The sequence below is a fragment of the Homo sapiens genome, chromosome 2 (genome assembly GCF_000001405.40).
Source record: "Homo sapiens chromosome 2, GRCh38.p14 Primary Assembly".
NCBI lineage: Eukaryota > Metazoa > Chordata > Mammalia > Primates > Hominidae > Homo > Homo sapiens.
This window is the reverse complement of record NC_000002.12, coordinates 198,553,944-198,579,137: the sequence shown is the minus strand read 5'-3', so window position 1 is coordinate 198,579,137 and position 25,194 is coordinate 198,553,944. Positions and strand designations below refer to the sequence as shown.

Here is a 25,194-nt window from a genome sequence, read left to right as displayed (position 1 = left end):
CTGGAAAGGTATTTGTACTACCTTTGGAATTAGAAATGTATCACTAATCACTAGTTAGTTATATTAATACATAAAGAACTGTTTAATAAAGATATAAATAGGATCTATTTTAACATCAGAAATAATATTGTGCAGTTGTCTAGTGACATGAATATTATAGTTTCCTGTGCTGTATCATTTGATCATACAGCAGTCATTCAGAGCAATATTAGTTAAGGTTCTCCAGAGAAATAGAACCAGAAAAACAGGGCTCTCCAGAGGAATAGAACTAGCAGCCAGAGTATATAGATAGAGATATAAATATAGGTATCTAAGAGTGATTAATTATGGAAGCTTTCTCACACCCTTGTAAGTCCCCCGATGTGCCATACTCAAGCTGGAGCACCAGGAAGCCAGTGGTATAGCTCAGTCTGAGGCTGAAAGCCTGAGAACAGGTGGGTGGGGGCATGCTGGTCTATGTGCTGAAGTCTAAAGGCCCAAGAATCTGGAGCTCTGATGTCCAAGGGCAGGAAAAAAATGGGTTTCCCAGCTCCAGAAGAGAGAATGAATTTGTTTTCCTTTGCCTTTTTGGTCTATCTGGTACCTCAACCAATTGGATGGGGCCCCTCACATTGGGTGAGGGCCGATCTTCCTTACTTAGTCCACTGGTTCAAATATCAATCTCTTCTGTAAACATGCTCACAGACATACCCAGAAAACATTCTGTACTAGCTATCTGCATATCCCTTAACCCAGTCAAGATGATCCCTAAAATTAACCATCACAAGGATATTTATTATCTATCTCATGAATCTATATTTTTCTGTTGCTGCTTGTACATGTCATATCTAAGAAACCATTGCCAAGTTCAAGGCCACTAAAGTGACTGCTGTGTTGGAGATAAACAATACACAAGATAGTTGTGTTCCACTTTCCAGAGAATATAGTTGTTGCTACAAAAAAAAATTAACTGTCTAGACAAAGACTGCATCTCCCAGGCTCTTATGCCTTCAGATATGGCCATGAGACTATATCTTGCCAATAGACTATGAGCAGAAATGAAGAGTGTTACTTCCAGACCCAGGTTTTTAACAAGTGAGTCTGCATTAATCATTATCTTTCTCCCTATCCTCCATCTGACAGCAGAGGAGTCTAGGGCCCCCAAGGATACAGAGATCACAAATGGATATATGGATTCAGGGAGGAACCTGAATCCATATATCCCTGAAGAAAGGAAAACTACCCACCAAGTAGGAACCACTCACGCTGAAATGAACTCAGAACTCATGCCCTTACACATCAGGTAAACATGCAGTTGTTCTTAAATGTCATTGTGTATATAAACACCAGTGCAGGATATTACAAATGCAGATTTTCTGACTCCAACCCAGAGAGTACTCTTCCATGGGTCAGTTTAAATTGGCACCTTGGATAATTCTGTAACACCACCATAATAAAGAAATACACCACCTCCCCACTCTACCTCCATTAGATGGTAGAAATTACTTGTCTTGTGTCTAGATCAATATCTCACTCAGAGTACATTTACAATATTTTAAAACTTTTTCCTTGATGAATATATTATTATGTAGGAAATTGAAACTGGGGGAAAAAAATCCCCCAGCATTCACTCTCATGTTCCGAAAGATTTCAAACACCAAGGCAAGAAGATCATATCACTTTATCTTGGATTGTGTGTCTAGGTTACTGTGGACAGCACTTTCAGGAGGAGAGGTAAGTAAAGTGGAAATCTGGAACTGGTTTAAAAGGGAACATGATGATAAGGATATCAAAAAAAAAAAAAAATGTCCCAAAGTCACTCTGACTCTTAACTATCACAGAGATAATACAATGCAAGGAGATTAATTTTTAGGACTTAAATAAACTCACATTATTATTAAAAGATTAGTTCAAAACTTGAAACATATTTACCATTATAATGAAATTAATTAATACCTAATAATCCATATTCATTATTGCTGGCTTAAGGAAACATGAGGATTTCTGATGTAATTCTGACTCAGAAGTAAGAGCTAGATCTTCAGAGAAATATCCTGAGCTGGAAAGAGATTGGTGGTGTCAGAGATGCACGTGCACTGACAAGATGTTTAATAGGAATTCCAAAATTTCAATGGTTTAAAGGGAAACTCTTCAAACTGTCTCTTTTTCTGCCATAGAATACATGGAAATCTGGAAGAATATGCTGAAAATGTTAGTAATCATTACAGAGCCAGATCAATTTGACTGTGGCACTGATCAGAAAATAAATTCAATTGCAGGTTATTGTCAAGGTGCCCCAACTTCATTGTCAAAATCAATGGCATATCCAGGTCAATGAACATTTGTCACCATTTTAAGCATGGTGGATGTATCCTTAAGTTTCATATATGTTTGCAACTTATTTAAAAATAGTTTAAGGTACTTTTTTGGTTTAAAATTGATCGTAAATTAAGGATTTTAATAGTAACATTTTATAGCTTTATTACCACAGCAATTTGATTTCACATAAAGTTATGTCTTAAAGGTAATCTGTACAGCCAATTCTTTCTTATGTCAGAATCTAAAAATCTTTTTTCTGTTTTCATGGTCATCATCACAATGAATGTTATGTTGCAGTGAAAGATTGAAATGTTCTAAAAATTTATAGCTGTTCTCACATTTGATTTATTCTTTTTTGTTATGATATTTGATTTCTTTTAAAATGCAACAGGTTGTTTTACTAGTGTTGGATAACAAATTTCTTGAAGATTTCCAGAAAACAAAAGTTATATCAAAATGAGAAAAACAACTAAGCAAAACTCTGAAACACTTTACTTCAAGCACTAACATGAGCTGGCTTAGCAGTGTCTACAAAGTGCCAAATCAACCTGGTAGAGAGAAAAAAAAAATCATTAACTTGCCTGGTTGCTTTGGCTACATGTTGCTAGTTTCACTTTTTCACGGAAATGTTTTGGCATTAGGAAGAAAAATATATACATTGTAGATTGAAGAGATTAATACTTTGCTCATTTTTTCATGTGTTTTTTGGCTGCATAAATGTCTTCTTTTGAGAAGTGTCTGTTCATGTCCTTTGCCCACTTTTTGATGGGGTTGTTTGTTTTTTTCTTGTAAATTTGTTTGAGTTCATTGTAGATTCTGGATATTAGCCCTTTGTCAGATGAGTAGGTTGCAAAAATTTTCTCCCATTTTGTAGGTTGCCTGTTCACTCTGATGGTAGTTTCTTTTGCTGTGCAGAAGCTCTTTAGTTTAATTAGATCCCATTTGTCAATTTTGGCTTCTGTTGCCATTGCTTTTGGTGTTTTAGACATGATGTCCTTGCCCATGCCTATGTCCTGAATGGTAATGCCTAGGTTTTCTTCTAGGGTTTTTATGGTTTTAGGTCTAACGTTTAAGTCTTTAATCCATCTTGAATTGATTTTTGTATAAGGTGTAAGGAAGCGATCCAGTTTCAGCTTTCTACATATGGCTAGCCAGTTTTCCCAGCACTATTTATTAAATAGGGACTCCTTTCCCCATTGCTTGTTTTTCTCAGGTTTGTCAAAGATCAGATAGTTGTAGATATGCGGCGTTATTTCTGAGGTCTCTGTTCTGTTCCATTGGTCTATATCTCTGTTTTGGTACCAGTACCATGCTGTTTTGGTTACTGTAGCCTTGTAGTATAGTTTGAAAAAATGCTCACCATCACTGACCATCAGAGAAATGCAAATCAAAACCGCAGTGAGATACCATCTCACACCAGTTAGAATGGCAATCATTAAAAAGTCAGGAAACAACAGGTGCTGGAGAGGATGTGGAGAAATAGGAACACTTTTACACTGTTGGTGGGACTGTAAACTAGTTCAACCATTGTGGAAGTCAGTGTGGCGATTCCTCAGAGATCTAGAACTAGAAATACCATTTGACCCAGCCATCTCATTACTGGGTATATACCCAAAGGACTATAAATCATGCTGCTATAAAGACACATGCATGCGTATGTTTATTGTGGCATTATTCACAATAGCAAAGACTTGGAACCAACACAAATGTCCAACAATGATAGACTGGATTAAGAAAATGTGGCACATATACACCATGGAATACTATGCAGCCATAAAAAATGATGAGTTCATGTCCTTTGTAGGGACATGGATGAAGTTGGAAATCATTATTCTCAGTAAACTATCACAAGAACAAAAAACCAAACACCACATATTCTCACTCATAGGTGGGAATTGAACAATGAGAACACATGGACACAGGAAGGGGAACATCACACACCGGGGACTGTTGTGGGGTGTGGGGAGGGGGGAGGGATAGCACTGGGAGATATACCTAATGCTAGATGACGAGTTAGTGGGTGCAGCACACCAGCATGGCACATGTATACATATGTAACTAACCTGCACATTGTGCACATGTACCCTAAAACTTAAAGTATAATAATAATAAATAAATAAAACAAAATAAAATAAAAAAATGTGGCACATTAAAAAAAAAGACTTTGCTCAACTCAATTGTATGGATTTTTTTTAATTTGAAGACTTAGATTTTTTTCAAAAATGTTGGCTAAAGACTGAATTCATAGAAGAAAATAGTGGCATTTTCTTTCTAAATCAGATACTTCACTGACATACTGAGCCATCATTTTTCTCTTTGACATATACTTATTTCATAGTAAGATTGTGTCCTTTTTCTTAAGCTTATGTTCTTTTCAAAATTAAGTGTTTTATGTACATCAAAAGATGAGAGGAAAATTAAATAAAATTTGAGCAATTATTGAGGAAAATAATCACTTTTCAAAAATTAGTAGGCTTTAAAAAAATAAAATTGACAAGGATCCTGACAGAACCAAAGGAGTGGAGGGTTTGAGTAATATCAGGCAGATCACTTGCAGTCAGGAGTTGGAGACCAGCCTGGCCAACATGGTGAAGCTCTGTGTCTACTAAAAAAACAAAAATTAGTCGGGTGTAATGACAGACACCTGTAGTTCCAGCCACTCGGGAGGCTGAGGCAGGAGGATAGTTTGAACCCAGGAGGCAGAGTTTGCAGTGTGCTGAGATCATGCCATTGCACTCCAGCCTGGGCAACAGAGCAAGAGTCCACCTCAAAAAACAAACAAACAAACAAAAAAACCTATTGTGTTAAAAAAAAATGATGTTTTAAATTAAGGAAATGGAATATAATTATTATTTTTACTTTATATAATAGGACAAATACATTGTTTCCTGTTTTTTCCTAATATATACTAGTCATTAATAATGAATTAATATCTGTTTAAAAATTACAATTTAACATACCATCTTGAAGCCATCTTGAATTTTTCTAAAGATGCATGCATCAAGCAACATAATGTTATTATTTGCCATTCTTAGAATTTTAGTTCAACCCCTGGACAGATCATTTTCAATTCACCATCTTTTGTTTGTGTTGCAACATTCTGCATCTCTTGACACTTCTGCAGAATACCTGTTATAATGTTTGTCTCTTCACCTCTTCCATACCCCAGTGTTCACACCTCGAGGAATTATCATGTTACAAGTAAACAAATATGTTCTATCTACCAGTTTGCAAAAGTGGGCAAAACAAGTGTTTTTTATCACTACTCAGCATACACTGCAAATACATCTCGTGCATGCTTATTAAGTTTTAATTGAAACATTAAAGCTGAGGCTAAATTACTATTTAATTGCAAGACCACTGTTAATTATTTTATACTTTGTTTGTTTGGCAAGCAAATCAACAATTGAGTTTTCTGTATGAGAGACATTGATGACTCAAAAAAATGACCTAGAGATTTTACCTGCCTAGGGAAAAAAACAGAAAGTAAAATGTTTTCCATCTGATTTTAAGATGATCAGATATAGAGTACTACAAATATAATTTCCTAAGGAAATGCCATCTTTCTTTTCAAGTGTGGTGTTGTATTTCTTTCTTTGGGAAAAGCTGAGGAATCCGCTCTTTCAGATTCCAGGTGTAGAATCGGTAGATGTGATTCTTCCTATGCTGGAATCGGATTCAAGACAGCTAGCTGATGGGAAACGTAATTCACTAAGGCTGTCCATCAGTAACTTTCAACTTAATTTATGAATTTTGCATTTTCAGCGAAGACGAAATGCTTCATAAGAACCTGATTCAGGCAGTGAGTGCAATCAGATCCACCGCTGGCAAAATTCCACTGGGTAAAATAGAGCAATGAGATAAGCTGGAGCATTTGCCAGTCTAAAAAGAAAATGCAACCCTAAAAATATGTTTCCAGGTTTATTTAGAGAAAATTATTTCCATAGAGCCATAATTATGAGGTGTTGTGGTATCTGCAGTAAGCAATTTAATATTGTATTTCAACTCCTAAAGGCAGTGAGGAGGTAGCAGAAAATAGCATGCATGGAAAACCTTACCATATTATGTCAGTGAATGTTATGAATGACACCTGTGCCACCCAGCCTGGTTACATTTTTTTAATCATTATTTTAATCAAATAAAGACACATATAATCAGTTTTGGGTTTTTTTAATGAATACGTTGTATATAAACAGCCACCATTTTCATTGAATCTCTAATATATGGCTAGTATCATGCTAGGTTCTAATTTACTGTATATGATAGATATTTAGATTTATGTGTAATAAACTATACCTACTAAATATAAATACATGTGGTTATATATGCATGCAGATGCATAAATGTATATGAAATAAAATGGAGGAAAAGAGGCTTAGAATAGTGTTACACTTAAAGAGTAGCTGTTTGTGAACATTATTACAACATGTAAAAGTCTCCCTGTGGGGGGTGTATGTCTTCCTAAAAATAAATAGAGTGTCTGAGTTAATTTTTTAACTTACTTTAATTTTTCTCTCATGGACATGAAAACAAAACAGTTAAAAATGTAAAGTAATAGTTATCTTCTTTCTCCTAAGGCTACTGTGTACATATTCCTAGAAATTAATAGGAAATTAATGTGATTGTGCATCAACCATTAAAACTTGGGAGAAAATGAAATGTATTAGGAATACTGAGCATTTTGGATGTGGCGTGTATAAAGTATCTAATGTACTTAAATATTTGAACACCACTCCTTCAAGGATTCACTTTTAAGAAGAGGTGTTAAGTGATTGTGTGAACTGCCTCTTGTTTTCCTACATGCAGTGTTTAGAAAGAATTCAGGTTCCACTCAAGGATTGTTATCTTACAATATCTTCTAAGAAGGTGTTGGTGTGAAGGTCTTCTTAGACAGCTAACATCTCATGTCTGTCAGCCAAAGAAAGAATTCACGGAGGAGACTGTTTCCATGTGAGCTGGTGTTCTGCTAACTTAAAATTGTAATCTGTATGCAGAAATAAAAACAACAACAAAAAAAATCCTGTCATAAGAAATAAATAACTTCCCATGGGTAGTTACATGTCCTTGAAAAAGCTTCATACTATTGAAAACATCTTGCTAATTGATAACATTATTTGAAACATGCTGATAACTCACTTGGACCTTGTGAGAATAAATTTCCCATGAGTACTAGTAATGAACAGCATAGAGCCTACCCACCCAAGAAAACACCAATTTCCTTTAACTCCCTCTGCCTGCAAGTTGCACTATTCCTCCAGCCAATTAAAACATGCTTCAAGTATGTGGTGAGGCATGACCAGACCCTCCCAGCCACGACAGAGGAGTTCATAAAGCTGAGTGAAGTAGGAGGAGAGATAATTACCGTCAATATGCCTCCCACGTGGGAAACTGTTAAACTTACCATTCTTCTCAGTGGTACGTTTGATGTAATATGTTCATTTTTGTGCTTATTCTTATGTTTCAGGATGTTGTCTAGGAAAAGGTGTCTAGACAGAATGGAAAAGAACCTTTTCAGTACGTCTTGTAGTGGTTGTAAAATGAGTGACAAAATAACAGATCTGGTCATTCTGTGGTGGAAACTTCTAAAAGGATTGTTTTCCATTGTTTGTTTGTGGAGTATTTTGAATGTTTCTAAAATAGCTCTTAATACAGGGAATATTCCTGTGAAATAGGAGCCTCCTAAAATCTTTTAGCAAATTCATCCTTGCTGAGCAAGGTACCCTGAAAACTATACTGAACAAAAAACAAAAACAAGCAAATAATCAAATCAGCTCTGATTTTAGAAAAATTGCATGATGGCTAGCTCTCCAAACCTTAAGAATATGGACACTGAGCATTGTAAAGCTTCATCAGAACTGTGAGTCCACTGACCAGAGCTATAATGTCAGCCTTTGTATGGAACTATTTATTGCACGCCACTGGGTAACATGTAACTCTCATAACACATTATAATAATAATAACCAAAATTAATTGAGTGTTTAGTAGGCATTGTATTTCAACATATATAGATCATGTAATTTAATCATCCTTACAAGACTGTGCAAACGTGTTAGATTGTGAGAAAGCAATGCATATAAAGATATCTGTAATAATTATGTATCTACCCTTTATTGGGTGTTTATTAAATGTCAAGTATTAACATTTGTTACCTATTTTAATCTTTATTCAGTCATTATAAGGATATTAGTATCATTATGATTACAGTTTAGGAGAATAAGGCAAAGAAATCTTAAATAATTTGCTCAAGTTCACATAGAAGGTCTAGGATTCAGGCTCACGTTTACCCAATCAGTGTTCTTTCCAAAATAAAAAAGATATTAAATTTCCTGTTGTCACAGGAAATCTTTCTTTCATTTTCATTTTAGTTGACACACGATAATTGTACATATTTATGGGGTACAGAATGATATTTTGTTACATGTATACAATGTGTAACGATCAAATTAGAGTAATTAGTATATCTGTCATCTCAAACATTTATCATTTCTTTGTGTTGGGAACATTCAAAATCCTCCCTTCAACCTTTTGAAAGTATACAATAAATTATTATTAACTATATTCACCCATTAGTGCTATTGTACACCAGAACTTAATCCTTTTCTCCCCTATAATTTTTTCTATCCATTAACAAACCTCTTCGTATCCTTTCCTCCTCACTACACTTCCCAGCCTGTAATAACCACAATTCTACTCTCTACTTCTTTGACCTCGACATTTTTAGCGCTGACATATGCGTGAGAACATGCAGTATTTACCATTCTGTGCCTGACTTATTTCATTTAACATAATGTTCTCTAGGCACAGGGGTCCCCAACCCCTGGGCCACCCCTGGGCCTTGGACTGGTAGCCTCCCTGGCCTTTTAGGAACCAGGCTGCCAAGCAGGAGGTGAGCGGCAAGCAAAGGAGCGTTACCTCCTGAGCTCCACCTCCTGTCAGATCAGCGGTGGCCTCAGATTCTCATAGGAGTGTGCACCCTATTGTGATCTGTGCATGCAAGAGATCTAAACTGTGCACTCCTTGTGAGAATCTAATACCCGATGATCTGAGGTGGGACAGTTTCATCTCAAAACTGTCCCCCACTCATTCACAAACCCCACTGGAAAAACTGTCTTCCACAAAACCATTCCCTGGTGCCAAAAAGGTTGGGGACTGCTTCTTTAGGCTCAATCACGTTGCCACAAATGACAGGATTTTATCTTTTTTATGGCTGAATAGTATTCCATTGTGAATATATACCATATTTTCTTTAGTCATTAATCTGTTAATAAACATTTAGTTTAATTCATATCTTGGCTAACATGAATAGTGCTACAATAAACATGGGTGCAGATATCTCTTCAATATACTGACTTTTCCTTTAGATAATCAGTAATGAGATTGCTGGATCACATGATCATTCTATTTTTAGTGAAAAACCTCTATACTGTTTTCCATAATGGCTATGCCAATTTACATTGCCAGCAACAGTATATGAGTTCCTTTTCTCCACTTTCTCACTAGCACTTGTTATTTTTTCTTTTTGATAATAGCCATTCTAAGTTAGGTGGGATCATACATCATTGTGGCTTTGATTTGCATTTCCCTGATGATTAGTGATGCTGAGCATTTGCTCATATACTTGGCCATTTCTGGCTATTTCTGTCTTTTTGGGGAAATGTCTATTGAGATATTTTGCCCATATTTAATGGGATTATACATCATTATTTTTGCTGTTGAGTTGAGTTGGTTGTATATTTCGGATCTTAGTCCCTCATTGCATGTATAGCTTGCAAATATTCTCTCCCATTCTACAGGTAGTGTCTTCACTCTGTTGATTGTTTACTTTGCTGTGCAGAAGCTTTTTAGTTTTATCGAGTCTCATTTGTCTACTTTTGTTTTTGTTGCCTGTTTTTGAAGTCTTACTCATAAAATCTTTGCCTAGACCAAACTTCTGAAGTACTTTTCCTATGTTTTCTTCTAGTAGTTTTATAGTTTTGGGTCTTACATTTAAATCTTTAATTCATTGTTGAGTTTATACGGTGAAGAGTAAGGGTCTAATTTCATTCTTCTGCATATGGATATTTAGTTTTCCCAGCATACTTTATTGAAGAGGGTGCCCATTCCCCAATGTATGTTTTTGGTGCCTTTATCAAAAATCAGTTGGCTGTAAATAAGAACAAACCTCAGAGATGTGGGTTCAGTTCCAGACTATTGCAATAAAGCAAATATCGCAATAAAGTGAGTCACACAAAAATTTTGGTTTCCCAGTGCATATAAAAGTTATGTTTACACAATACTGTAGTCTAATAAGTGTGAAATAGCATTATGTCTAAAAAATAATATATATACCTTAATTTAAAAATACCTTATTGGCCAAATATGGTGGCTCATGCCTGTAATCCCAGTACTTTCAGAGCCCCAGGTGGTCGGATCACTTGAGGCCAGGAGTTCAAGACCAGCCTGGCCAATAGGATGAAACCCTGACTCTACTAAAAATACAAAAAAAATGAGTTTTGCGTGGTGACAGGTGCCTGTAATCCCAGCTACTCAGGAGACTGAGGCATGAGAATTGCTTGAACCTGGGAGTTGGAGGTTGCAGTGAGCCAGGATTATGCCACTGCACTTCAGAGAAAGACTCTGTCTCAATAAAAATAAATAAATAAATAAATAAATAAATAAACTTTATTGCTAAAAAATGTTAACAGTCATCTGAACCATCAGCAAGTTTTATAATCTTTTTGCTGGTGGAGGGTCTTGCCTTGATGTTGATGGCTGCTGACTGAGCAGGGTGGTGGTTGCTGAAGGCTGGGGTGGCTGTGGCAATTTCTCAAAATGAGACAATGACATTTGCCACGTTGATGGACTCTTCCTTTCATGAAAGATTTCTCTGTAGTACGTGATGCTGTTTGATATCATTTTACCCACAGTAGAACATCTTTCAACATTGGAGTCAATCCTATCAAACTCTGCCACTGCTTTATCAACTAAATTTATAAAATATTATAAATTCTTTATTGTCATTTCAACAATGGTCACAGCAGCTTTACCAGGAGTAGATTTCATCTTAAGAAACCACTTTCTTTGCCTCTTCATAAGAGGCAACTCCTCATACATTCAAGTTTTATCATGAGATTGAACACATTTTTCTAATTCTGGTTTTCTCATGATTCCCAACACTTCTAGTTACTTCCTCCACTGAAGTCTTGAACCACTCAAAGTCATCCATTAGGATTGGAATCAACTTCTTCCAGATTCCTATTAATGTTGATATTTTGACCTCCTCCCATGAACCATGAATGTGTTTAAGGGCATCTAGAATGGTGACTCCTTTCCAGGGGTTTTCAATTTACTTCATTCAGATCTGTCAGAGGAATCATTATCTATGGCAGCTGTAGTCTTACAAGATTTTTTTTTTAAATAATAAGATTCGAAAGGTGAAATTATTCCTGGATCCATTGGATACAGAATGGATATTGTGTTTAGTAGGCACAAAAACATTAATCTTCTTGTACGTCTTCCTCAGAGCTCTTAAGTGACAAGCTACATTGTTGATGAGCAGTAGTATTTTAAAAGGAATCTTTTTTTCTGAGCAGTGCTTTTCAAAAGTGTGCTTAAAATATTCAGTAAACCATGCTATAAATGATGTGTTGTTATACAGGCTATTTTCTTTCATTTATAGAGCACAGACAGAGTAGATTTAGCATAATTCTTAAGGATACTATGATTTGAGAAATGGTAAATGAGCATTGACCTCCACTTAAAGTCACCAGCTACATTAGCCCCTAACAAGATAGTCAACCTATCTTTTGAAGCATTGAAGCCAGATATTGACTTCTCCTCTAGCTATGAAAGTCCTAGAAGGCATCTTTTTTTCCAATAGAAGGCTGTTTCATCCACCTTGAAAAATCTATCAATCAGTGTAGCACCCCCCTCATCAGTTATCTTAGCTAGATTTGGATAACTTGCTGTGGCTTTTACGCCAGCACTTGCTACTTCACCTTGCACTTTTATGTCATGAATATGGCTTTTTTCCTTAAACATCATGCACTAACTTCTACTAGCTTTAATCATTTATTCTGCATCTTCCTTATCTCTCTCAGCCTTCACAGAATTGAAGACAGTTAGGACCTTGCTCTGGATTAGGCTTTGGCTTAAGGGAATGTTGTGGCTGGTTTGATCTTCTATCCAGACTGCTAAAACTTTCTCCATATCAGCAATAAGATTGTTTGGCTTTCTTATCATTTGTGTGTTCGCTAGAGTAGCATTTTTAATTTCTTTCAAGAACTTTTCCTTTGCATTCACAACTTGCTTAACTGTTTGGCACAAACGGCCTAGTTTTTGGCCTATCTCAGCTTTCAACAAGCCTTCCTCACTAAGCTTAATTGTTTCTAGCTTTTGACTTAAAGTGAGAGATTACAAACACCTCTATGCACACAAACTAGAAAACCTAAAAGAAATGGATAAATTCCTGGAAACATACAATCTCCCAAGATTGAACCGGGAAGAAATTGAAACCTTGAACAGACCAATAAAATATTCTGAAATTGAATCAACAATAAAAGCCTACCAACCAGGAAAAGCCCTGGACCAGAAAGATTCACAGCTGAATTCTACCAGACATATAAAAAGAGCTGGTACCATTCTTACTGAAACTATTTGAAAAAATTAAGGAGGAGGGATTCATCCCTAACATTCTGTGAGGCAGGCATTATCCCATGTGTTAGGCCATTCTTGCACTGCTATTAAGAAATCCTGATAGTAGGTAGTTTATAAGAAGAGGTTGAATTGGCTCATGGTTCTGCAAACTGTACAGAAAGCCTAGCAGCATCTGTTTCTGGGGAGGCCTCCGGAAGCTTTCAATCATGGCAGAAGGCAAAGAGGGAGCAGACACATGGCAATAATGGGAGCACGAGCAGGCATCCCACACACTTTTAAACAGACACATTCCTTGAACACTCACTCACAATTGTGAGGATAGCACCAAGGTGATGGTGCTAAACCATTCATGAGAAACCACCTCCAAGATCCAATCACCTCCCACTGGGCCCCATCTTTGATACTGAGGATTACAATTCAATGTGAGATTTGGGCGGGGACAAATATTCAAACTATGATTCCAACCCTGGCCCCTCACAAATCTCACATCTTTCTCACACTTCATAATACAAGCATGCCTTCCCAACAGTCTCTCAAAGTCAAATTCCAGCAATCACTCAAAAGTCCCAAGTTCAAGTCCAAAGTCTCATCTGAGACTCATCTCCTTCCACCTATCAGCCTGTAAAATCAAAACAAGTTATTTACTTCCAAGATATAATGAGGGTACAAGCATTGGGTAAACATTCTCATTTCAAAAGGGATGGATCAGCCGAAAGAAAGGGGATACAGGCCCCATGCAAGTTTGAAACCCAGCAGGACAGTCATTATGCCTTAAAGCTCCAAAATAATCTCTTTTGATTCCACATCCCACAGCCAAGGCACACTAGTGCAGGGGATGGGCTCCCAAGGCCTTGGACAGCTCTGCCCTTGTGGCTTTGCAAGGGTCAGCCCCTGAGACTGCAATCACAGGTTATTGAGTGCTTGTGACTTTTCCAGGTACAGGGTTCAAGCTGCCAGTGACTCAGTCCAAGTCTGAAAGCCTCAAAACCAGGGAAGCTGATAGTGCAGCCTTCAGTCTGCTACCAAAGCCACAGAGCTCCTGGGAATCCACTTATGTAAGTCCCAGAGACCAAAGTCTGATATCCAAGGGCAAGAGGAGCAGAAGCAAGTATCCCACTTGAGAAGAAAAAAAAGCCAGAAGATTCAGCAAGCAAATGTATCCCACCTTCTCCCATCTTCTTCAGCCTGCTTTGTTCTCACTGCACTGGCAGCAATTGGATAGTACCCGCCTACATTGAGAGTGAATCTTCCTCTCCCAGTCCACTGACTCAAATGTCAGTCTCCTCTGGCAACACACTCACAAACACATCCAGAAACATCCTTTATCATCCATCTAGGCATCCGTCAATCCAATCAAGTTGACATCTAATTTTAACCATCACATCCTGATACCAAAACCTGGCAGAGACACACACACAAAAAAAAAAAAGAAAGAAAAAGAAAAGAAAGCAAAGCAAAGAAAAGAAAACTTCAGACCAATATCCTTCATGAACATAGATGCAAAAATCCTCAATAAACTACTAGCAAACCAAATCCAGCAACACATCAAAAAGCTAATCCACCATGATCAAGCACAGGCTTTATCCCTGGGATGCGAGGTTGGTTTAATGTACATAAATCAATAAATGTGATTCATCACACAAACAACGACAAAAAAAATTATGTGATCATCTCAATAGATACAGAAAAGCTTTCAACAAAATTCAACATCCCTTCATGTTAAAAACCTTTAACAAACTAGGCATTGATGGAACATACCTCAAAATAATAAGAGCCATCTATGACAAACCCACAGCCAACTTCATACTGAACAGGCAAAAGCTGGAAGCATTTTACTTGAGAACAGGAACAAGACAAGGATGTCTACTCACACCACTCCTATTCAACATAGTACAATGTTCTTAATCTATAAGAAACTTAAATAAAATATCAAGCAAAAACAAGCAACCCCATTAGAAAGTGGGCAAAGGACACAAACAACAGAACAGTCAGTCAGTAGAAAGAAATAAAAGGCACCCAAATAGAAAGGAAGAAATCAAATTATCTGTTTGCAGAAAATATAATTTTACACCTAGAAAACCTCATAGTCTCTGCCCAAAACCTCCTAGATGTGACTAACAACTGGTTTCAGCAAAGTTTCATGATACTAAATCAATGTATGAAAATTAGTAGCATTTCTATACACCAGCAATGTCCAAGCTGAGAGCCAAATCAAAAACACAATCCCATTCACAATAGACACAAAAAGAATAAAATACCCAGGAATAATGCTAACCAGGGAGACAAAGATGTCTACAATGAGAATTACAGAACACTGCTGAAAGAACTTAAAGATGACACAAACATATGGAAAAACATTCCATGCATATGGATATCAAGAATCAATATTGTTAAAATGGCCACACTACCCAAAGCAATTTACAGATTTCAATGCTATTCCTATCAAACTGTCAATGACATTATGCACAGAATTAGAAGAAACTATCCTAAAATTCATTTGGAACCAAAAAAGAGCCCAAATTGCCAAAGCAATTCTAAGCGAAAAGAACAAAGCTGGAGGCATCACATTGCCCTACTTCAAACTATACCACAAGGCTACAATAACCAAAACAGCATGGTGCTGATACAGAAACAGATACCCAGGACAATGGAACACAATAGGGAGCCCAGAAATAAAGCCACACACCTACAGCTATCTGATCTTTGGCAAATTCAACCAAAACAAGAAATGGGGAAATCATGCCTATTCAGTAAATGGTGTCAAGATAACTGGCTAGCCACATGCACAAGATTAAAACTCTACCCCTTCCTTTCAAAATTAACTCAAGATGGATTAAAGACTTAAATGTAAAACCTAAAACTTTATAGTTTTATATAAAACCCTAGAAGAAAACTTAGGAAATACCATTCTGGACATAGACTTTGGCAAAGATTTCATGATGAAGACACCAAAAGCAATTGCACCAAAAACAAAAACGGACAAATGGGACCTAATTAAACTGAAGAGCTACTACACAGCAAAATAAATGATCAAGAGAGTTTATTTCTACAGAATAGGATAAATATTTGCAAACTATCCATCCAACAAAGATCTAATATCCAGAATCTATAAGAAACTTAAATAAAATATCAAGCAAAAAACAAGCAACCCCATTAGAAAGTGGGCAAAGGACACAGACAATTTTCAGAAGACATACATGTAGCCAACAAGCATATAAAAAATGCTCAACATTACTCATCATTACAGAAATGCAAGTCAAAATCACACTAAGATACTGTTTCTTGCCAGTCAGAATGGCTACTATCAAAAAGTCAAAAAATAACAGATGCTGGTGAGGCTGTAGGAAAAAAAAGGGAATGCTTATATGCTGCTGGTGGGAATGTAAACAAGTTCAGCCACTGTGGAAAGAAGTTTGGTGATGTCTCAAGGAACTTAAAATAGAACTACCATTCAACCCAGTAATCCCATTATTGGGATTATACCCGAAGGAATATAAATCATTCTACCATAAAGACATATCCATGTGTATATTCATGGTAGCACTATTCACAATAGCAAAGGCATGGAATCAACCTAAATGCTAATCAACAGTAGACTGGATAAAGAAAACGTGGTACATATACACCATGGAATACTATGCAGCCATAAAGATGAGATTATATACTTCACAGCAACATGGATGGAGCTGGAGGCTATTATGCTAGATGAACTAATGCAGGAACAGAAAATATCATATGTTCTCACTTATAAGTAGGAGCTAATAAAATACCACGTCTCACTTATAAGTGGGACACAAAGAAGGAAACAATAGACACTGGGGGCTACTTGAGGATGGAGAGGGGAAGATGGGTGAGGATCAAAAAACTACCTATGGAGTACTATGCTTATCACCTGGATGACAAAATCATCTGGACACCAAACCCGTGTTGTACTCTTGTATATGTACTCTTGTTGTACATGTACTCTTGAATCTAAAATAAGAGTCAAAAAACAATAAATAAATAAAGTGATACCTGTGTGATTCTTTCTTTCACATGAACACTTAGAGGAAATTACAGGGTTATTAATTGGCTACATTTCAGTATTCTTGTGTCTCAGGGAATAGGGAGGCCCAAGAACAGTGAGAGAGATGGGGAAATGGCTGGTTGGTGGAGTAGTCAAAATACACATTTATCAGTTAAGCTCACCATCTTATATGAGTGCAGTTTTTGGCACTCTGAAACAATTACAATAGTAACATCAATGATCACAGATCACCACAACAGATATAATAATGAAAAAGTTTGAAATCTTGACAGAAATACCGAAGTGTCACAGAAACACAAAGTGAGGACATGCTTTTGAAAAATTGGCATCAATAGACTTGCTCAATACAGAGTTACCACAAATATTCCATCTTTTAAAAAATGCAATATCTGCAAAATGCAGTAAAGCAAAGCTCAATGAAATGAGGTATGCTTTTATGTGGATTTATTTCTGGGTTCTCTATTCTATTCCATTGGTATATATGTCTGTTTTTATACAGATACCATGCTGTTTTTGTTACTATAGCTTTACAGTATATTTTGAAGTCAGGTAGTGTGATGCCTCTAGTTTATTATTTTTGCTCAGTATTGCTTTGGCTATTCAGGTACTTCTGTGTTTCCATAGAAATTTTAGGATTTTTTCTATTTCTGTCAAGAGTGTCTGGTATTTTGATAAGGATTGCATTGAATCTGTAGATTGCTTCAGGTAATATGTCACCTTTAACATAACTAATTCTTCCAATTCATGAGCATGGAATATCTTTCCATTTTGTTGTGTCCTCTTCAATTTATTTCATCACTGTTTTATAGTTTTCACTGTAGAGATCTTACAACTCCTTGGTTAAATTTATTTCTAAGTATTTTGTAGTCATTGTAAATGGGATTGCTTTGTTGATCTTTTTCCAGCCCATTTATTAATGTATAGACTCATTACTGATTTTTTGTATGTTGATTTTATATCCTGCAACTTTACTGAATTTGTTTATAAATTCTAAGAGTTTTTAGGTAGAGTCTAGATTTTTCAATATACAAGATCCTGTCATCTTCATAGAGAGACAATTTGGGTTTCTCCTTTCCAACTTGATTGCCCTTTATTTCTTTCCCTTGCCTAATTGTTCTGACTAGGATTTCCAGTACTATGTTGAGTAAAAGTGGTGAAAGTGGGCATTCTGTCTTCTTCCAGTTCTTACAGGAAATTCTTTCTATGATGTTAGCTGTTATATATTGCCTTTATTGTGTTGAGGTGTTTCTTCTATATCTAATATCTTGGGAGTTTTATCATGAAAGGATGTTGAATTTTATCAAATGCTTTTTCTGTGTCTTGAGATGATCTATTTTGTCATTTGTTCTGTTCATGTGATGTACTACATTCATTGATTTTCATGTGTTGAACTATCCTTGCATTCCTGGAATAAATCCACTTGATCATTATGTATTTATCTTTTTCATGTGCCGTTGGATTTGCTTTGTTAGTATTTTGTTGAGGATTTTTGCATCTATGTTCATCAGGGATATTGGCATGTAGTTTTATTTCATTGTGTGCTTCTCTGATTTTAATATCAAGATAATGCTGGCCTCATAGAACAAATTAGGAAGGATTCCCTCCTCTTCAATTTTTTGGAATAGTTTGAGAATTGGTGTTAGTTCTTCTTTAAGATTTTGATAGAATTTAGCAGTAAAGCCACCCAGTGCTAAGCTTTTCTTTGTTGGGAGAGTTTTTATTGCTGATTTAATCTTTTTATTTATTATTGGTCCCTTGAGGTTGGCTATTTATTTTTAGGTTGTATTTGTCCAGGAATTTATCCATTCCCTCTAGGTTTCCCCATTTGTTGGCCTGTTGTTGTTCATAATGGTCTCTAATGGTGCTTTGTATTTCTCAAAGGGAATCTTTGAGAGCAGCTTAACCTGTCTGAACTGCTGCTTCAGGCCTAAGTGACAGGCCCAGGTATTGAACTCATCTTTCTAAATTTGCCAACCTTGGTTTCTTTTTTTTTATATGGCTTACATTACATGGTTTATAGTTCAAAACTATTACCCAAAATTATCTATAGCTTACAGTAAAAACTTCAACTCAAATAAACTAAATATAGGGTGGTCTAGGTGGCTTTCTTATGCTCTGGCAAATATAGATTCTTTCAAAGCATGTTCATAAACTAGTAGCCTAGAGATTGGGCAAAATTTGACAAATAATTTGATTCAGCTAGCAAAATATTTAAAAATATTGAACCAATTTTTAAAAATCAGAAAATTTCATAGAAAAAAAAAGCCTAGATTGAAAACTCCTTTTAAACTTTCAGATGGCTCTAGCAGCTAGCGCTGTGCTCACATTCTCACAGGTCGACACTTGGCTGGAGACAAAAAGTAGCTGCCCCCATTAGGTGGGGTTTATGCTCAATTTGCCACAATTCCCAACATTTCCTGATGCCTCCCCTAAACTGAGGCTGTAGGTTGCCTTTAAAAGTCACATTTACACTGTTGTCTCTGCTGCCATGTCACCACAAAAAAATTATCAAATGAAAAATACAGTTGGAGGCCTGTGTTTTCTATGAGACCTGGTATTCTATATAGTCTATAGATAGTATATATATTTTTTTCTATGAGCCTGGATATTTCTTTATGAAAATGAAAATCATGTCCGTATATTCCATGTAAAATACCAAGTGGTCTTCCCTCACTTACTTAGCTGGCTCCTATAAGTGTTTTAGCTTGCAATTCTTTTCCAGTCATTCTTCCTGAAATTCTGAGAGGAGCTTCTGCAGCTGGGAGTGTAGTCACTAGGGACACTGTGGCTAGGACTCTGCCATCCCTCACTTTTCTTATGGCAGCTCCCCTCAACCCCCACAATTTGTATATATAGTAATATTTGCAAACAACTATTGTTTAAATACGTGATACTATGGCTAAAATTAAATTTGAAAACCACCCTTGTAATAATAAGCATTAGAACATCTGTATGCACCCTCATCCCCTTATGAAAACTATGACTAGGATTAGATTCTAATACCCTCTATTAATACTCCTACACTCTACTAGAGTAGAGCATCAGTAAAATGTGTCAGGAAAGAGAAATAGGTCATCTATATGATGTATTAACATACCTGACAATATATCATAATTTGAAAGGTAGTTTTAAATATTACCTTTCTGGATAGTTTTTACCCCATAAAAAAAGAATATTCACTATCTAAACAAATTAACTTGTACCATTTCAAATAAGAAGGCTTTATTAGTAGGCCACTAACTTCCACCACTACGTTAATATGAACTGTCACTCTACTTATAAAAGTCTCCACTTCTGACAGATTATACTTGAGAGCTGTATTGCATAAAAACAGAGCATTCCTCTCATGAATCCACTTTCTGATTTGCACATAATTACTTCTTTAAAAACTAAACAGGAAAGCTATCGCATACTTTCTGCGGGAGGCTCTTCTGGCCACTCCATCTATGGGGTTGTTTGGGTAACTTACAAGGTTCTCCTGGACACTGAGACATTACTCAAAGGTAAGTTAAGTTTTACTGAGAACACAGAATCCAAGGCTTCTCCAACTCATACTTTCTAAGAAGATGCAAATTGATGTCAGTATTTCAGAGCGTAATACAAAGCAGGTTTTCTCCTGAATGATTAAGGCCTGACAAGTGCCTCCTCTTAGCCCTGGCACCTTGTTCCTATATATGTTTGCTAGTTTAGCTGCACAAAGAAACACATTTTGGGGAGAAAAAAAAAAGATAAATAGATTTTGCCAGGTTGGCTTTGAACCTATCTTTCACACCACTGTGAAGTGCACTGCCAGGATGTGCGATATGTAGTTAGAAGCAGCAGATGGAAAAGCATTTTTGAGGGGCTTTTTGATGGTTCTGAATCTATGCAGCATTTACACACCAAAGCATGCTTGTTCATCTGTTATATATTTAGGGATATTTAAACTGTGAACATTTGTCGTCCTTAAAGACTACAAAAGTATCTGGAGACTGACTGACTTACTAAATAGACACAGTAAATTGATCAATAATTAGTCTGACATCCATCACCCCATGGCCCCTCACTTTCAACCAATTCCTGGCCCTCATTCTGTATTGCCTGGCAGTAGCCTTATGTGGAGCCACGAGCATCCTATGTAGTGGAAAAAATGTCACAGCACCAAAAGAAAAATACACTCCCCGTGTACGAGTGTGGAGAGAGAGAGAGAACTTTTTAAAAAGTTATTTATTTTTTAATGGACATATAAAACTGTATGTATTTATTATGTACAACACGATGTTTTGAAGTAGACATGTATTTGTGAAATGGTTAAATTGAGCTAATTAACAAATGCATGAACTCTCATAGCTATCATTTTTTCTGGTGAGAACACTTAACATCCCACTCTCCTAGCATTTTTCAAGAATACAATATGTTGTCATTAACTAAAGTCACCATTCTATACAATACATCTCTTGAACTTATTCCTCCTGTCTAACTGTAAATATGTATCCTTTGACCAACACCTTCCCAGCCTCCTCTCCTATCAGCCCCTGTTAACCACCATTCTACTCTCTACTTCTGTGAGATCAATTTTAGATTCTACATGAGTCAGAGAGACCACTTTCAAGAAGCTCCATGAAAATATAGGACAGTGAAATGACATTGAATGTCATCCTGTAATTCAGCAAAAGGTTGAAGTTTCCATAGTTGGAGACTTTCTGCTTAGAACTTTCTCCTAATATTTTTAAATATGATATTGGAGATGAGTGTCACCAAGAGAAAAATACACTTGAACAAGCCATAGGGGATTCATTTCTTTCCCAGTTGCACATGTCTTACTCAGTAGAAACCAGTGAAAATAAAACAACATGCTTAAAATTTAATCCTGGGATAAATTGATAGCCGCTTTCCAGGGCTAGTACCAAAATGGATCCCAAATTAATAATATTTAAATTAATGACTGACATTCTCTGAAATGCCTGCATCAGACATTTGTGTTTACTATATTCCCTTCACCCATCCTTAACCTTGTTGCCTCAAATTGGCAATTTCAGAGGAAGAGCTCATGGCAAGAATAAATAAGCAGCTGTTTATGGACAACAAAGTCACTGTTGTAATAATGAGATCTGGTTGGAAGTTAGAATTATTGACTCTGGATTGTTCTGTGAATTCTGAAACCCAAAGATTATTTAAAAACTTCCTGAAGCAAACCTCAGATCCTCATCAGGCACCACTCTGTGCTTACCAATGCGTAAGTGCTATAGAGAATGTGAAAGAAGAGGAGGAAGGACAGCAGGGCTCCAAAGACAAGCAAACCCAATTTTGACAAAACATGGGCAAAGTAAGGGGGAAAAGTATCCAGTTTTGACTCAACAATTAAAATGTATTTTAATTGTATTTCACTACTTTGGCCATTGCTTGGACTCATTACAGTGAATATTCAGAAACAACCGATAAATTTTAAAATCAGTGGGGCTGAAACCTGAGGATCTCTAATGTTTTATTTCCTCAGTCTCGGAAAGCTGGGAACAGTAACCAATGCCATCTTTCACTGACCTCACAGCCTAAACTCTAACGGGTTCTTGGTTGATATGCCATACTGCTTCCCTGAATAAATTAGCGTATGCACAAAGCCTGAGTCCCAGAAGAGACAATCAATAGGTATCAGTCTCAATCTTCCTTAGTAGGGATGTTTTGAGGATTCATAATCAAATTTGATTCATAATCAAAGCACTATTGCCTGGCACATATTAAGGGCTCAATAAATGTTAATTTTCTTCTTTCTGGCCTTTTCCTTATAGTTAAACAAAAACATAAAAACCATGACATTTTTAAATGTGAAACTCTGATAAATTTGAAAGAACATTCTGTGGACCCAAAAATAAAAAAAATGATATCTTCTAACTAAATATAATGTTTGTGAAACTGATTTGCATTTCAAATTTTGGCAGTACACCTATGAAGGGTGTCTCTGGCTCAGAACTCTGGCAAGAGGTGATGAGGACTTGAACTAAGGTGGTGGCAGGAGATTGGAGATAAATGGTTATAAGAGGCGGGATAGCAGAATTGTCAGGCCTTAAGTGCTGTCGACAGACAACCTGGGTTCCATCTCAGCGCCAACCCCTGCTAACTATGTGATTCAAGCACTTGTCTTACTTTCCAATCTGCGAAATAAAGAGAAATGTATTCTATCTTCACTGATGGATATGAGGATTAAATGAGACAATACATGTAAAGCACTTAGCATGGCTCCTGACATGTTTGTGCAATAAATGTTGGCCATTATTAATACCTGGAGATTATCACTGTGTGACTATTCCCAATTAAAAAATACGTGTTCTACTATTTAGTCTCAAACTGGTCCCTGATCACATGAAAACCTTGAGAAAAAATGGTCCCTCCATGTGGAGATGGGACAGTTTGTTTTGTGGGAAAAGAATGCAAGTGAAGCCTGGATGTGGTGGCTCATGCCTATAATCCCAGCACTTTGGGAGGAAGAGGATCACTTGAGGCCACGAATTCAAGACCAGTCAAGGCAACATAGCAAGACTGTCTCTACAAAAACTGAAAAAAGAATAAAAATTAAAATATTTAATTGCCATAACAGACTGTCAATCTTGGGACCTGAAAAATCTAGCATTCAGTTTTTGAGTCTCATTTTAACCAATAACATAGAATTCTGGTGTCCCGGGTATTAGAAAGCTCAGAATTATTAAACTGAGAGACCATTCAATAACTGCCAACATTTGGTTGAAAAAATACGTTTGAGAAACAAAATCATGTACCCATCCATTTCCCAAGGGGTTCTAAGTGCTAGTCTCTGACTCATGATAAAAGGCCTAGGAAAATTAGCTTTCTATTAAAATATTTTCGCTAAATTTTGTTTTAATTCAGAGTCAATAAAAAACATACCTGTCTGAAAAAATATGTTGTATTGCCAGGAAAGCTGCTATTAGAGACATCACCCATTAAATTATCTCTAAGATACCAGGTAAAATTTTTTCTTGGATATTTATGGTATGAAAATTCACCCCTGAAGAAATAATATATTTGTGTGCTTCTTTTTAATTTTTAATCAATAACTACATTGTTTTATTGTGGCATCCAGGGATCTCATAATTAAATTTCCTGTCCAAGTATAATATGATTTACGCTTAAAGTTAACAAAATTGGTAAAACTGTTTTCCACCTTTTTCTACTATGATTTGCCTGTCATTATAAAAATACAGCTGAAGAAGATAGTCAGGAATTGATACTTAATAGGTGGTCAACAGATATTGATTCCCCCCAACATACTTCAATCTACTAATAAATTTTCATTCGTTTAGATATTATTAACCATTATACATGAGATTTTAGTTGTAGCTATATAAATTTTTTAAAGTAGGGTACACGTGACTTATCAGTAATGGCCCTCAATATATATGGTTCTGATTGAAGTATTACATAAATATTTATTGGATGCCTATTATGTGGCATAACAAAACCATATGGTATGGGTAATGACAATTTAAATAAATTTAGCTCAATAAATAAATCAAAATGTTGGGAACAGATTATGTGCTCCTTTGGCCTTGTTAAGGAAATGTTATACTACATAAGTAATATATAATCATTGGAAGAACAAATTTAAAAATGGAAATTATGAAAATAAAGAAATTAGTATTAAAATCACTTGCAAGCCTGTTGAGACAGTCTTTATTACTATTTTGCTGTATATTTGCTTATCCTTTTTTCAAGCAAATTTATTCATATAAATACATATTTTACTTAAATTTAGAATCAAATCACTTACATTATAGTTCAATATATTTTAAATGGTATTTCATATCACTTAATATAGAGGGACACCATTTTTGATGATTGCATAGCATTCGATTGTATAGATACACCTTCACTAGATAAACGAGTCCTATACTGTTGACCATTTAATTATTCATCATTTGAAAAGAAATTGTCTTATCTCACTACAAATTGGGCTTTTTGTAAGTATTGGATTTGTAGAACTATCTTAGAGAAACCAGTCTAAAGAGAGGGAAAACATCCTAAGTTTAACTACTTTAAACCAGTGATGTGAGTGTGAGCACCTAGCACAGGAAAATGGGCAAGCGCTTGCCCTCCAACAGGTGTGTGAATTGTTAAAGGGATTTGAAGAGGAAAATTTGCAAGGTTCTCACCATGTGCATATCCTTTCAACTGGCAATCCCACCTTAATTCAATTAAGAAAGTAATTGAACTAGTGGCATATGTATTTATACAAATTAATGCT

At 36.1% G+C, this 25,194-nt stretch overlaps 2 long non-coding RNA genes across 3 annotated transcripts in view; one reads left to right on the top strand and one right to left on the bottom strand.

Moving 5' to 3' along the window:
- The window catches only part of LOC105373831 (uncharacterized), a 279,396-nt gene that overhangs the window by 193,193 nt on the left and 61,009 nt on the right, over positions 1-25,194 (top strand). The gene's annotated exons all lie outside the window — the stretch shown is intronic.
- Positions 6,397-16,908, bottom strand: LOC105373830 (uncharacterized). Its single transcript, XR_923757.3, has 3 exons — positions 16,827-16,908; positions 7,661-7,784; positions 6,397-7,282 (listed from the first exon to the last, which is right to left on the bottom strand). It is a non-coding gene; the product is annotated as an uncharacterized LOC105373830 (long non-coding RNA).